General features: G+C 53.5%; 1 protein-coding gene across 1 annotated transcript in view, besides 4 other annotated features; it reads left to right on the top strand.

Moving 5' to 3' along the window:
• ATAD3B (ATPase family AAA domain containing 3B) overlaps nucleotides 1-11,394 on the top strand; it is a 37,702-nt gene extending 26,308 nt beyond the window's left edge. Inside the window, exon 16 of the mRNA XM_005244806.4 lies at nucleotides 11,133-11,394. Coding sequence (XP_005244863.1) covers nucleotides 11,133-11,279 — 147 coding nt within the window. The 3' untranslated portion in view covers nucleotides 11,280-11,394. The remainder of the gene's footprint in view (nucleotides 1-11,132) is intronic.
• Nucleotides 10,297-10,940: an enhancer, noted in NCBI's record as "H3K27ac-H3K4me1 hESC enhancer chr1:1443749-1444392 (GRCh37/hg19 assembly coordinates)". NCBI's record gives its function as "activates a minimal SCP1, AML or CMV promoter by ChIP-STARR-seq in primed H9 embryonic stem cells {active_cell/tissue: H9 hESC(primed)}" and the evidence as "EXISTENCE:reporter gene assay evidence [ECO:0000049][PMID:30033119]".
• Nucleotides 10,941-11,582: an enhancer, noted in NCBI's record as "H3K27ac-H3K4me1 hESC enhancer chr1:1444393-1445034 (GRCh37/hg19 assembly coordinates)". NCBI's record gives its function as "activates a minimal SCP1, AML or CMV promoter by ChIP-STARR-seq in primed H9 embryonic stem cells {active_cell/tissue: H9 hESC(primed)}" and the evidence as "EXISTENCE:reporter gene assay evidence [ECO:0000049][PMID:30033119]".
• Nucleotides 13,398-13,597: a silencer, noted in NCBI's record as "silent region_76". NCBI's record gives its function as "represses an Ori minimal core promoter by ATAC-STARR-seq in GM12878 lymphoblastoid cells {active_cell/tissue: GM12878}" and the evidence as "EXISTENCE:reporter gene assay evidence [ECO:0000049][PMID:35858748]".
• Nucleotides 13,838-13,897: an enhancer, noted in NCBI's record as "active region_23". NCBI's record gives its function as "activates an Ori minimal core promoter by ATAC-STARR-seq in GM12878 lymphoblastoid cells {active_cell/tissue: GM12878}" and the evidence as "EXISTENCE:reporter gene assay evidence [ECO:0000049][PMID:35858748]".

The raw sequence follows: 13,988 nt of genomic DNA on the forward strand, positions 1-13,988 counted from the left end.
CGGGTGGATCACCTGAGGTCAGGAGTTCGAGACCAGCCCGGCCAATGTGGTGAAACCCCCATCTCTATTAAAAATACGAAAGTTAGCCGGCATGGTGGTAGGTGACTGTAATCCCAGCTACTCGGGAGGCCGAGGCAGGAAAATCACTTGAACCCAGGAGGCAGAGGTAGCAGTGAGCCAAGACCCCGCCATTGCACTCCAGCCTGGGCAGCAAGAGTGAAACTCCGTCTCAAATATAAAATAAAAATTAGCGGTGCCTGGTGGCATGTGCCTGTGGTCCCAGCTTGTTGGCTTAGCTAGGAGGATCGCCTGAGCATGGGAGGCAGAGGTGACAGCCGAGATCGCACCACTGCACTCCAGCCTGGGTGACAGAGTGAGACCCTGTCTCAAAATAAATTAAAAAATAAAAATAAAACCAAACCCTTGATGATGGCCATGGCGAGGGGTGGGGATGGGGTCGGTGGGTGGGGGTACAGCTGGGGAACTCATTGGGTTTTTCTCCTCTCCTATTTTTTGGTACAGACGGGGTCTCTCTTTGTTGCCTAGGCTGGTCTCCAACTCCTGGGCTCAAGCGATCCTCCTGCCTCGGCCTCCCAAAGTGTTGGGGTTACAGGCCTGAGGCACCGCGCCCGGCCTGTTTGTTTTTTTCAGACGGAGTCTCACTCCGTCGCCCAGGCTGGAGTGCAGTGGTGAGATCTCGGCGGCTCACTGTGTTTTATGTAAATTTTCGGTGTCGCAAAAGAAGTAGCACTCGAATGTTAACTTTTCTCAGCTGCGAAATTTACTTCTATAGAAGGGGGCGTCTCATAGCTGGAGCAATGGCGAGCGCCTGGACAAGGGAGGGGAAGGGGTTCTTATTCCTGACACAGGTAGCCCCTACTGCTGTGTGGTTCCTCTTTTTTTTTTTTTTTCTTTTTGAGACAGAGTCTCATGCTGTCGCCTAGGCTGGAGTGCAGTGGCGCGATCTCAGCTCACTGCAAGCTCCACCTCCCGGGTTCACGCCATTCTCCTGCCTCAGCCTCCTGAGTAGCTGGGACCACAGGTGCCCGCCACCACGCCCAGCTAATTTTTTGTATTTTTAGTAGAGACAGGGTTTCACCGTGTTAGCCAGGATGGTCTCGATCTCCTGACCTCGTGATCCGCCCGCCTCGACCTCCCAAAGTGCTGGGATTACAGGCGTGAGCCAGTGCGCCCGGCCTGGAATACCTTTTTTTTTTTTTTTTTTTTGGTCTCGGCTTACTGTAACTTCTGCCTCTTGGGTTCAAGTGATTCTTCTGCCTCAGCCTCCCAAGTAGCTGGGATTACAGGCACGTGCCACCACGCCCAGCTACTTTTTGTATTTTTAGTAGAGAGGGGGTTATACCATGTTAGCCAGGATGGTCTTAAACTCCTGACCTCATGATCCGCACTCGGCCTCCCAAAGTGCTGGGATTACAGGCGTGAGCCACCGTGCCCAGCCATAGATAGATATTATGTCTTCTATTCACCCTGGTGGGGTTGGTTCCAAACAGCTCTTTTTTTTTTTTTTTTTTTTTTTTTGAGATGGAGTTTTGCCTTGTAGCCCAGGCTGGAGTGCAGTGGCGCAATCTCTGGTCACTGCAACCTCCGCCTGCCGGGTTCAAGCGATTCTCCTTCCTCAGCCTTCCCAAGTAGCTGGGATTATAGGCATGCGCCACCAAGCCCGGCTAATTTTGTATTTTTAGTAGAGATGGGGTTTCACCAGGTTGGTCAGGCTGGTCTCGAACTCCCGACGTCAGGTGATCCACCCACCTCGGCCTCCCGAAGTGCCGGGATTACAGGCGTGAGCCACCGTGCCCAGCCTTTTTTTTTTTTTCTTTTTGAGACAGAGTCTTGCTCTGTTGCCCAGGCTGGAGTCGTCCAGTGGCACGATCTTGTCTCACTGCAACCTCCGCCTCCCGGGTTCAAGCCATTCTCTTGCCTCAGCCTCCCAAGTAGCTGGGACTATAGGCACAGGTGGACACGCCCGGCTAAGTTTTTGTATTTTAGTAGAGACGGGGTTTCACCATGTTACCAAGGCTGGTTGCAAACTCCTGAGCTCAGGCGATCCACCCGCCTCAGCCTCCCAAAGTGCTGGGATTACAGGCGTGAGCCACCGCACCCGGCCTACACTGATAACTTATAGCAAACTTTACTTTTGTTGAAAACCTTGGGAGTTTGGGATTTTAATTATCCTTTGTGGCCGGGTGCGGTGGCTCACGCCTGTAATCCCAGCACTTTGGGAGGCCGAGGCGGGCAGATCACGAGGTCAGGAGATGGAGACCATCCTGGATAACACGGTGAAACCCCGTCTCTACTAAAAATACAAAAAAATAGCCGGGCGTGGTGGCGGGCACCTGTAGTCCCAGCTACTCAGGAGGCTGAGGCAGGAGAATGGCGTGAACCCAGGAGGCGGAGCTTGCAGTGAGTCGAGATTGCGCCACTGCCCTCCAGTCTCTGGGGGACAGAGCGAGACTCCGTCTCAAAAAAAAAAAAAAATTATCCTGTGCTATTAATAAGACTTCATTCAGTCTAATATATATATATATGTATAAATGTATATATAAATGTGTATATATATATAAATGTATCAGCCACTTCAGGCAGGGCGCAGTGGCTCATGCCTGTAATCCCAGCACTTTGGGAGGCCGAGGCGGGCGGATCACGAGGTCAGGAGATCGAGACCATCCTGGCTAACAGGGTGAAACCCCGTCTCTACTAAAAATACAAAAAAAAAATTAGCCGGGCGTGGTAGCAGGTGCCTGTAGTCCCAGCTACTTGGGAGGCTGAGGCAGGAGAATGGCATGAACCCGGGAGGCGGAGCTTACAGTGAGCCGAGATTGCGGCACTGCACTGCAGCCTGGGCGACAGAGTGAGACTCCTCTCAAAAGCCACTCCAAAGGCATACTTAGAATTGGTATAGATGGTTCCTTCCTGGTTCTGTAAGTACTTGAAGGCTTGGCTGAGTGCAAACAGCTCACATGCTTGAGCAGACCAATTATTAGGAAACTTTATTAACTCTATTTTTTTATTTTTTGAGATGGAGTCTTACTCTGTCGCCCAGGCTGGAGTGCAATGGCGTGATCTCGGCTCAGTGCAACCTCCACCTCCTGAGTTTAAGCGATTCTCCTGCCTCAGCGTCCTGAGTAGTAATTACAGATACTCGCCACTACGCCCAGCTAATTTTTGTATTTTTTTTTTTTGAGACGGAGTCTCGCTCTGTCACCGAGGCTGGAGTGCAATGGCACGATCTCGGCTCACTGCAAGCTCTGCCTCCCGGGTTCACGCCATTCTCCTGCCTCAGCCTCCTGAGTAGCTGGGACTACAGGCGCCTGCCACCACGCCCAGCTAATTTTTTTATATTTTTAGTAGAGACGGGGTTTCACCGTGTTATCCAGGATGGTCTCGATCTCCTGACTTCGTGATCCGCCCGCCTCGGCCTCCCAAAGTGCTGGAATTACAGGCGTGAGCCACCGTGCCCGGCCTAATTTTTGTATTTTTAGTAGAGGCAGGGTTTCACCATGTTGACCAGGCTGCTCCTGAACTCCTGACCTCAGATGATGCACCTGCCTCAGCCTCCCAGAGTGCAGGGATTACAGGTGTGAGCCACAGAGCCTGGCCTCTATTTCCACAAGAGTTTTTCCTGTTAGTTACTCATTGTCTTTTTCCTTGAATCACCTGGAAGTAACTATCTTCAAATAAGTGTCATCCCGTAATGCACTACGGCAGTCCGTGGGTTACTACATTAAGGATAGTTGTCAGTGGCCTCCATGCCTTTGGGTAAGTTTTTTTTTGTTTTTGTTTTGTTTTGTTTTGTTTGTTTTTTTTGAGATGGAGTCTCACTCGTCGCCGAGGCTGGAGTATAGTGTCACTGTGTTGGCTCACCGCAACCTCCATCTCCTGGGTTCAAGCAATTCTCCTGGCTCAGCCTCCCGTGTAGCTAGGATTACAGGCGTCCACCACCATGCCCAGCTAGTTTTTATGTTTTTAGTAGAGATGGGATTTCACCATGTTGGCCAGGCTGGTCTTGAACTCCTGACCTCAGGTGATCCGCCTGCCTCGGTCTCCCAAAGTGCTGGGATTATAGGCATGAGCCACCGCTGGCCTCTAGTATAGGTTTTAAATTTACTCTGGCTTTTTTTTTCTCTCTCTTTTTTTTTTTGGAGATAGAGTCTCGCTCTGTCGCCCAGGCTGGAGTGCAGTGGCATAACCTCGGCTCACTACAACCTCCGCCTCCCGGGTTCACGCCATTCTCCTGCTTCAGCCTCCTTAGTAGCTGGGACTACAGGCGCCCACCACCGCGCCTGGCTAATTTTTTGTATTTTTAGTAGGGACGGGGTTTCACCATGTTAGCCAGGATGATCTCCTGACCTCGTGATCCACCCGTCTCGGCCTCCCAAAGTGCTGGGATTACAGGCATGAGCCACCGTGCCCAGCATTTTTTTTTTTTTTTTTTTTTTGAGACAGAGTCATGCTCTGTCGCTGAGGCTGGAGTCCAGTGGCACGATCTTGTCTCACTGCAACCTCCGCCTCCCGGGTTCAAGTGATTCTCCAGCCTCAGCCTCCCAAGTAGCTGGGACTACAGGCACAGGCCGACATGCCCGGCTAATTTTTTGTATTTTAGTAGAGACCGGGTTTCACCATGTTGCCAAGGCTGGTCGCGAACTCCTGAGCTCAGGCGATCCACCCGCCTCGGCCTCCCAAAGTGCTGGGATTACAGGCATGAGCCACCGCACCCGGCCTACACTGATAACTTATAGCAAACTTTACTTTTGTTGAAAACCTTGCGAGTTTGGGATTTTCATTATCCTTTGCTATTAATAAGACTTCATTCAGTCTAATATATATATATATAAATGTATAAGCCACATCAGGCCGGGCACAGTGGCTCATGCCTGTAATCCCAGCACTTTGGGAGGCCGAGGCAGGTGAATCACGAGGTCAGGAGATCGAGACCATCCTGGCTAACAGGGTGAAACCCTGTCTCTACTAAAAATACAAAAAGTAGCTGGGCGTGGTGGCGGGCACCTGTAGTCCCAGCTACTCCAGAGGCTGAGGCAGGAGAAATGGCACGAACCCGAGAGGTGGAGCTTGCAATGAGCCGAGATAGCGCCACTGCACTCCAGCCTGGGCGACAGAGCGAGATTCCGTCTCAAAAAAAAAAAAAAAAGTAAAAGCATATGTATCATGATAAAATGGACACTTTACCCATCGCCTGACTTTGTGTTGAATTGGGCAAGAGCCTCCTCCCGTCCACGTGGGATGGCCTTCCTGATGTGGCTCTCCAAGACCATCCCTGGAGGGCATAAAACCTCACAAATGCATCAGGCCGTGTGCTGGGGATGGGGCATCGTCACGCCAGGTCTGACTAGGAAGGAGGATGGGGAGGCAGGGCTGGGGGCTTTGAGGTCGAGGCGTGGCCGTGGATTCCAGAAAGCCCCTTGGCTGGTGTGGTGCCTGCCCAGCGGCATCCGTGTATCCTAACACCCGCCCTCTGTGCCCCTGTGCCTGCAGGCCACATCAAAGGACGCCCTGAATGTGGCACAGATGCAGGAGCAGACGCTGCAGTTGGAGCAACAGTCCAAGCTCAAAGTGAGTGGGGCCGGTGTGGGTGGGGAGGCCGGGGCGCACATGGGGTTCGGGCATGGAGATTGGTAGGGCTACTGCCGGTGGGTAGGGCTGGTGGCATGTACATGGGCAGCAGTGGGGTGCAGGGCCGAGCTTGGGCGCCTCATTTCACAGAAGGAAACAAGGGGAGGTGAGAGACAGTGCCGCAGAGCCTCCCGAGAGGGAGGGCCAGTGTTGGTGAGGGCGTCTGGTTGTCCGGAGGATGGGGATCTTCTTGACATTCTCACCTCATTTCTTTTCACTCAGCAGAATTTTTTTTGCATTGCATTGCATTGCATTGCATTTTAATTATTTTATGTATTTATTTTGAAACGGAATCTTGCTCTGTTGCCCGGGCTTGAGTGTCGTGGTGCGTTCTCGGCTCACTGCAATCTCTGCCTTCCAGGTTCAAGTGATTCTCCTGCCTCAGCCTCCCAAGTAGCTGGGATTACAGGCACCGACCACCACACCCGGCTAATTTTTGGATTTTTAGTAGAGACGGGTTCACCATGTTGGCCAGGCTGGTCTTGAACTCCTGACCTCAAGGGATCTACCTGCCTCGGCCTCCCAAAATGTTGAGATTACAGGCGTGAGCCACAGTGCCTGGTCCCTCACTTTCAGTCCTGAGTTCACAGGCGGGGTTCACATGTTGCCTGTTGTGGGCATTGTAGCTTAAAAATTTAATTGGCAAGGCCAGGTGCGGTGGCTCACACCTGTAATCTCAGCTCTTTGGGAGGCCGAGGTGGGCGAATCATCTGAGGTTGGGAGTTCGAGACCAGCCTGACCCAACATGGAGAAACCCCATCTCTACTAAAAATACAAAATTAGCCGGGCGTGGTGGCGGGCGCCTGTAATCCCAGCTACTCAGGAGGCTGAGGCAGGAGAATCACTTGAACCTGGGAGGCGGAGGTTGCGGTGAGCCGAGACCACGTCATTGCACTGAAGCCTCAGCAACAAGAGGGAAACTCTGTCTCAAAAACAAAAAAAAAAAGAGAGAACAGGAGTGTGGTCGACTGCTGGGCCTGCCATAACCACTGGGGCGTGTGTGCCCACAGCTCTGAAGACTACAGGCCCAAGGTCAGGGTGCCAGCTCAGTCCCTCCCTGTGGAGTGTTCTTTGCTGGGTCCTCATGTGGCGGAGAGAGTGACTGAGCTCTCACTCTGGTGTCCCTTACAAGGATGCTCATCCTGCACTGCTCACAGTGGTGGTGGTAAGCCACCGCGCCCAGTGCCAACTTTGTCCTTCAACAGTTTGTGTGTGTGTGTGTGTGTGTGCGCGCCAGGCACAGTTGTAGGATCCAGCTCCACAGGTTCGGTGGGTTTTCTCTTTGTGTGCAGAGACAAGAGAGTGTAGAAATAAAGACACAAGACAGAGATAAAAGACAGCTGGGCCCGGGGAACCACTGCCACCTAGACGTGGAGACCGGTAGTGGCCCCGAGTGCCAGGCTGCGCTGTTATTTATTGGATACAAGACAAAGGGGCAGGATAAGGAGTGTGAGCCATCTCCAGTGATAGGTAAGGTCACGTGGGTCACGTGTCCACTGGACGGGGGCCCTTCCCTGCCTGGCAGCCGAGGCAGAGAGAGGGAGGGAGGGAGAGAGAGAGACAGCTTACGCCATTATTTCTGCTTATCAGAGACTTTTAGTACTTTCACTAATTTTGCTACTGTTATCTAAAAGGCAAAGCCAGGTGTACAGGATGGAACGTGAAGGCGGACTAGGAGTGTGACCGCTGAAGCACAGCATCACAGGGAGACGGTTAGGCCTTCGGATAACTGTGGGCGGGCCTGACCCTCCACAAGAGGTGGAGGAGTAGAGTCTTCTCTAAACTCCCCCGGGGAAAGGGAGACTCCCCTTCCCAGTCTGCTAAGTAGCGGGTGTTTTCCCTTGACACTGACGCTACCGCTAGACCACGGTCTGCTTAGGTCACGGGTGCCTTCCCAGGCGCTGGCGTTACTGCTAGACCAAGGAGCCCTCTGGTGGCCCTGTCCGGGCGTAACGGAAGGCTCGCACTCTTGTCTTCCGGTCGCTTCTCACTATGTCCCTTCAGCTCCTATCTCGGTATGGCCTGGTTTTTCCTAGATTATGATTATAGAGCGAGGATTATTATAATATTGGAATAAAGAGCAATTGCTACAAACTAATGATGAATGATATTCATATATAATCATATCTAAGATCTATATCTGGTATAACTATTCCTATTTTATATATTTTATTACACTGGAACAGCTCGTGCCCTCGGTCTCTTGCCTCAGCACCTGGTTGGCTTGCCACCCACACACAGTGGCTCATGGCTGTAATCCCAGCACTTTGGGATGCCAAGGTGGGTGGAGCACCTGAGGTCAGGAGTTCGACACCAGCCTGGCCTAAATGGTGAAACGCTGTCTCTACTAAAAATACAAAAATCAGCCAGGCATGGTGGTGTGTGCCTGTAATCCTACCTACCTGGGAGGCTGAGAGGCAGGAGAATCACTTGAACCCAGGAGGTGGAGGTTGCAGTGATCTGAGATCGTGTCACTGTCTTGCAGCCTGGGTGACAGAGTGAGACTCCCTCGCAAAAAAATAAAATAAGTTTTTTTTTTCCCTTTGGCAATTCAAGATCCCTAGAGGTTCCATATCAACGTATTAATGCTTTTTCTATTTTTGTAAAAAATAATTCGGGTTTTACAGGGATTGCATCCAGTCTCTATATTGCCTTGACGTCTCTTAGCAATGTTGTCTGGTTTTCTTTTTTTTTTTTTCTTGAGATGGAGTCTCACTCTGTCACCCAGGCTGGAGTGCAGTCGTCGGCCAGGATGGTCCCAAACTCATGACGTCAGGTGATCTGTCTGCCTTGGCTCCCAAAGTGCTGGGATTACCGGCGTGGGCCACGGCGCCCGGCCAGTTTTCATTGTACAAGTCTTTCACCTTCTTGGTTAAGTGAATTTCCAAGTATTTTATTCTTTCAGATGCTATTGTAAATGGAAATGGTTTCATAATTTCCCTTTCAGATTATTCATTGTTAGTATGTAGAATTGCAGCTGTTTCTGCTGTTGATTTTGTTTCCTGTAACTTTGCTGATGTCACGGGGTTGTTTTTTCCAATATGGATTCTAGGATTTTCTTTTTTCTTTTTTTTTTTTTTTTTTGATATGGAGTCTCGCTCCGTCACCCAGGCTGGAGTGCAGTGGCACAATCTCGGCTCACTGCAAGCTCCGCCTCTTGGGTTCACGCCATTCTCCTGCCTCAGCCTCCTGAGTAGCTGGGAATACAGGCGCCTGCCACCATGCCCAGCTAATTTTTTGTATTTTTAGTAGAGATGAGGTTTCACTATATTAGCCAGGATGGTCTCGATCCCCTGACTTCGTGATCTGCCCGCTTCAGCCTCCCAAAGTGCTGGGATTACAGGCGTGAGCCACCGCCCGCGCCCAGCAGGATTCTAGGATTTTCTACATATAAGATTATATCATCTGAGAACAGGTGATTTTACCTCTCCCTTTTCAGTTTGGATGACTTCTTTTTCTTCTCTAATGGCCCTGGCCACAACTTCCAGTGGTATGTGGAATAGAAGCAGTAAAGCATTCTTGCCTGGTTCCTTACTCAGAGGAAAAGCTTCCAGTTTTTCACCACTGAGTATGTCACCTGTGGGCTTGTGATATATGGCCTTCATTATGTTTAGGGCGTGTGTTTCAATTCCTGGCTTGTTGAGTGTTTTTCTCATAAAAGGGTGTTGAATTTGGTCAAATGCTTTTCCTGCGTCAGTTGAGAGGGTCATGTGGTTTCCTTCTTCCACTCTGCTAATATTGATTGCTTTTTGTATGTTGAACATTTCGTATGTGGAACATGATTTTCGTATGAACTATCCTTGCATTCCAGGAATAAATCCTGCTTGGTCAGGGTGTATAATTTTTTTATTATACTGCTGAATTCACTTTGCTGGCATTTTGTTGAGGACTTTCCCAGTGATGCTCATCAAGGATATTGGCCTGTCATTTTTCTTGTGGCATCTTCATCTGGGTTTGATATCAGGGTACTGCTGGCTTCCTAGGATGAGTGAGGAAATGTTCTTCAATTTGTCCAGGAGTTTGAGGAGTGCTCTGATTCTTAATGTTTTGTGAATTCACATGTGAAGAAATCAGGTCCAGGTCTTCTCTTTCAACTTTTACAGCTTGGAGATTTTAGGTTCCCAGAAAAATTGCAAGGGTAGCACAGAGAGCTCCCGGGCCTGGGGCCTCGCCACGTGGTGAACGTCATGTGTCACTGTTGGCCCCACCCGCGACTGGGTCTTGCCCCAGAATCCCACCCAGGAGGCCACGTGACATTTAGCTGTCACTTCTGGTGGGCTCCTGCCAGGTCCCGTGCTTCCCAGAGGGGTGGCCCCGTGAGCATCTGCGTAGCCCCTTTCCTCTGCTGGGCCCTGGGTGAGGTGCAGCCACTCGGGTGGACCCTGAGGGTCCCTGCACCTGTTTGCCCTCTCTTGGGTGGGCTCAAGACCAAAAATGATGTTGAGCAGTCCTGGGCCCCTGAGCCACAGTGGCGGTACGGCTCCAGTCAGTGTCTCCTGCGCTCCTGGGCCCCTGACCCACAGTGGTGGTCCAGCTCCGGTCAGTGTCTCCCCACACAGTGGCTCTTGGCGAGGGATGGGCGCTGGCAGAGGGGACGGGCACCACGTGGTCATCCCCATGGCAGGTTCTATCGTGGCGACGGTGTTGTGGGAGGATGGTGTGCTGCTGCCCCTGCACCCCGTGAGATGAATCCTGCCTCTGGGAGGCATAGCTGGGATGGGGCTAGGGACCCGCTCAGCTGTCCGGGAAGGGTCCCCTGCCCTGTGCTTCCTCCAGGCGTCCTGGTGCCCTCCTGAGCACGGCGCCCAGTGGGGGTCCCCACACCCTGACCCTGACCCACGGGTGACTCCCTTTGGGGACTCCATGCCCTTTTCTGGCATTAGGATGGAGAGTGACCTGTCTGGCAGAAAGGCTGGACCTGAGGCTGCCTGAAGCGACACCGAGGGCCACAGCCCCAGCAGCTCCAGCCTTCACATGCTAGATGCCAAGCCCTGTGCCCAGGAGGACAGGAAGGTGGGGCAGGGGTGGCCTTGGTGCCACCAGCCACGTGCCTCAAGGTGGGCAGTGGCTGCCTCTGCCCTGGAGGCCTGTGAGGGTCAGGGTCTGAGGGTCTGAGGTGCACTATGACCCGGGGGCACTGCCTGGCCACGGCTGAGACACGCAGAGGGTCTGCAGTTCCCACCTGCCTCTCGGAAGCTGCCCTGGGTCGGCCGTCAGTGAGGCTCCGCCTTGGGCTTTCTATTATTAGAAAGTCATTGAGCAACAGCAGTGCTGAGGACGCAGGCAGGGCTGTGGGCACTGCAGGGGCTGCCCCCGGTGTCCACACACGTGCTGGGCTCTGCCGAGGTGCGGGAAGCCTGTGTTTCACGCTCAGGCCATCCTGGAGCCCCTGGTTTGGTCCCTCCCCACCTCGGGGCCCTGGCGTGCATTTGGGGTGGGGGGTTCCCATGGCGGCCTCCCTCAGCTCCCTCTCTCCCCACTAGGCCACGGCGTATGCCTCCGAGGACGGGGTCCTGACCGAGGCCATGATGGACACCCGCGTGCAAGATGCTGTCCAGCAGCACCAGCAGATGATGCGCTGGCTGAAGAGGGGGAGGCCTGGGCCCGAGGACGAGCAACCCTCATCCTGAGTCCATGGGGAGACCACACCTCACGGAGCCTGGCCGCGGACCCCTCCCACCCCTGCCTTTGCGGCCCCGCACATTTAGGAAATACTCCCCGTAATAAAGTCCCACGGGGGCCGCACCGCTGTGTCTATTGGCTGGGGCGGGGTTTGGGGCCCCCTAACGTCCCCCTGGGGTCAAAGGTGACAGAAAAGGCAGAAGCTGGGGCTTTCTGGAGGATTTAACCACAGAGGGGTGGGCTGCACAGGAGGTGCCTGCCACGGCAGGGCCGGGTGCCCGTGCCCCATCCTGAGGCCGTGCATACGCGGGTGCCCTTCGCCTCCCTCCCCTCCGCCAGAGCTGCCTGTGGCCAGACACACGGTGGAGGGAAGTGCACGCGAAACAGACACAGCGGCTTCAAATAGATGCCGCCCCTGCCCGCGCTTTGCAGCTAGTCCCTGCAAACCTTGATGATGGGGCTGGGCGCGGTGGCTCACGCCTGGAATCTCAGTGAGGCCAAGGAGAGTGGATCACCTGAGGTCAGGAGTTCCAGACCAGCCTGGCCAACATGGTGAAACCCCATCTCTCCTAAAAAAAAAAAAAAAAAAATTAGCCGGCCGTGGTGGCAAGTGCCTGAAATCCCAGGTACTCAGGAGGCTGAGGCAGGAGAATCACTTGAGCCTGGGAAGTGGAGGTTGCACTGAGCTGAGACCATGGAATTGCACTGCAGCATGGGCAACAAGAGTCAAACTCCCTCTAAAAAAAAAAAAAAAAAAAAAAAGGGCCAGGTGGCACATGCCGGTGGTCCCAGCTTCTTGGCTTGGAGGCTGAGGTAGGAGGATCGCCTGAGCATGGGAGGCAGAGGTTGCAGTGAGCTGAGATCGCACCATTGCACTCCAGCCTGGGTGACAGAGTGAGACCCTCTCAATAAATAAATAACCAAAACCTTGATTACAGCCATGGGGTGGGGGTGGGGGGACGTCTGGCTATTGCTGGGGAAGTCATTTGGTTTTTCTCCTCCTCTCCTATTTTTTTGGTACAGACGGGGTCTCTCTTTGTTGCCCAGGCTGGTCTCCAACTCCTGGGCTCAAGCAATCCTCCTGCCTCGGCCTCCCAAACTGGCGGGGTTACAGGCGTGAGCCACCGCGCCTGCCCTGTTTTCTTTTTCTTTTTTTTTTCTTTTCTTTTTTTTTTGGCGATGGAGTCGTGCTCGCCCAGGGTGGAGTGCAGTGGCCTGATCTCGGCTCACTTCAACCTCCACCTCCAGGGTTCAAGCAGTTTTCCCGCCTAAGCCTCCGGAGTAGCTGGGATTACAGGCGCACGCCACCATGCCCAGGTTAATTTTTGTATTTTTGACAGGGGTTTCACCATGTTGGCCCGGCTGGTCTCAAACTCCTGTTTTCAGGTGATCTGCCCACCTCGGCCTCCCAAAGTGCTGGGATTACGGGTGTGAGCCACCGCGCCTGGCCGGCATTTTCTGGCTTTTTTTTTTTTTTTTGACAGAGTCTGACTCAGTCGCCCAGACTGGAGTGCAGTGACGAGATCTCGGCAGCTCACTGTGTTATATGTAAATTTTCTGTGCCGCCAAAGAAGTAGAACTCGAATATAAATTTTTCTCAGCTAGATAATTTACTTCTATAGAAGGGGACATCTCATAGATGGAGCAATGGCGAGCGCTTGGACAAGGGAGGGGAAGGGGTTCTTATTCCTGACGCGGGTAGCCCCTACTGCTGTGTGGTTCCCCTATTGGCTAGGGTTAGAATGCACAGTCTAAACTAGTGCCCATTGGCTATTTTAAAGGGAGCAGGAGTATGGGCCAGAGTGGCGGGGTGAGTGGTTTGGCGGGAAAAATGGTTATGGGACAGGTAACTAAAGGTGACTCAGGTCAAAGCAGGAGACCGGGATTAGTTAGGACGGAGCAGGTGACCAGGGCAACAGATGTCAACTACTGACTAGAACTGGTGGAAAAGGTTGTTTACTGAAACTGCGAGGAAGGTAGACTTTAAAATGCAGGACAAAGACTGAACATACTGATATACTGATTCTTTGAAGGGAAGTTTAGAACTCATTGTATCTAACATTATTCAGGCTTAAAACAGTTTCCAATCCAGTGGGAAAAGTCACTCCATATATTCCGTGAAGTCAACCAGTTCCATCAAGGAGAAAGTCAGGGCCGCTGGGAGCGCGTGGACCGTGGGCTCCGGGGCGGCGCCTGCCCGGGCACCCCGGCCCCGTCCACGCCCCGCAAGAGGAGCTCGCTGGCCCCGCCACGCGGGAAGGGGTCGCCCCGGGGTCTTGGGCGGGAGGGCCGTGCGGGCTGCGGAGACACCGAGGAGGGGAGGCGCCTCTCCTGAGCTCTTGGCGCAGCGACCCCAGGGCGCCGACTCATCGCGGAAGGGCTCGGCTTGCCCGGGCGCCGGTGCCGCCTCGGGTGAGGTTCCCGCGAGACTCTTCTCTGCGTCCTGGACTCACCGCAGGGCGCCCCGCCGCACGGATCGAGAACCTTGGGGCTCCCTGGAAACTTGCCACCCGCTGCCGCCAAGGCCGGAACTCCTCGGAGCCCCTAGCAACGGAGCCCCTAGCAACGGAGCCCACGCGGATGCGGCGCGGGGCTGACGCTGCCTTGGGTTCGCCTACGTCCCTCGGGAATTTTGTCCCGGCGTGGCTCCCGTAGCCAGATGCTTCGCCGCTCCCGCCCCGCTGGCTCCCAAAGCCTGTTCGGCAGTCGCGGCGCCG

This window comes from Homo sapiens, chromosome 1, assembly GCF_000001405.40.
Source record: "Homo sapiens chromosome 1, GRCh38.p14 Primary Assembly".
Classification (NCBI taxonomy): domain Eukaryota; kingdom Metazoa; phylum Chordata; class Mammalia; order Primates; family Hominidae; genus Homo; species Homo sapiens.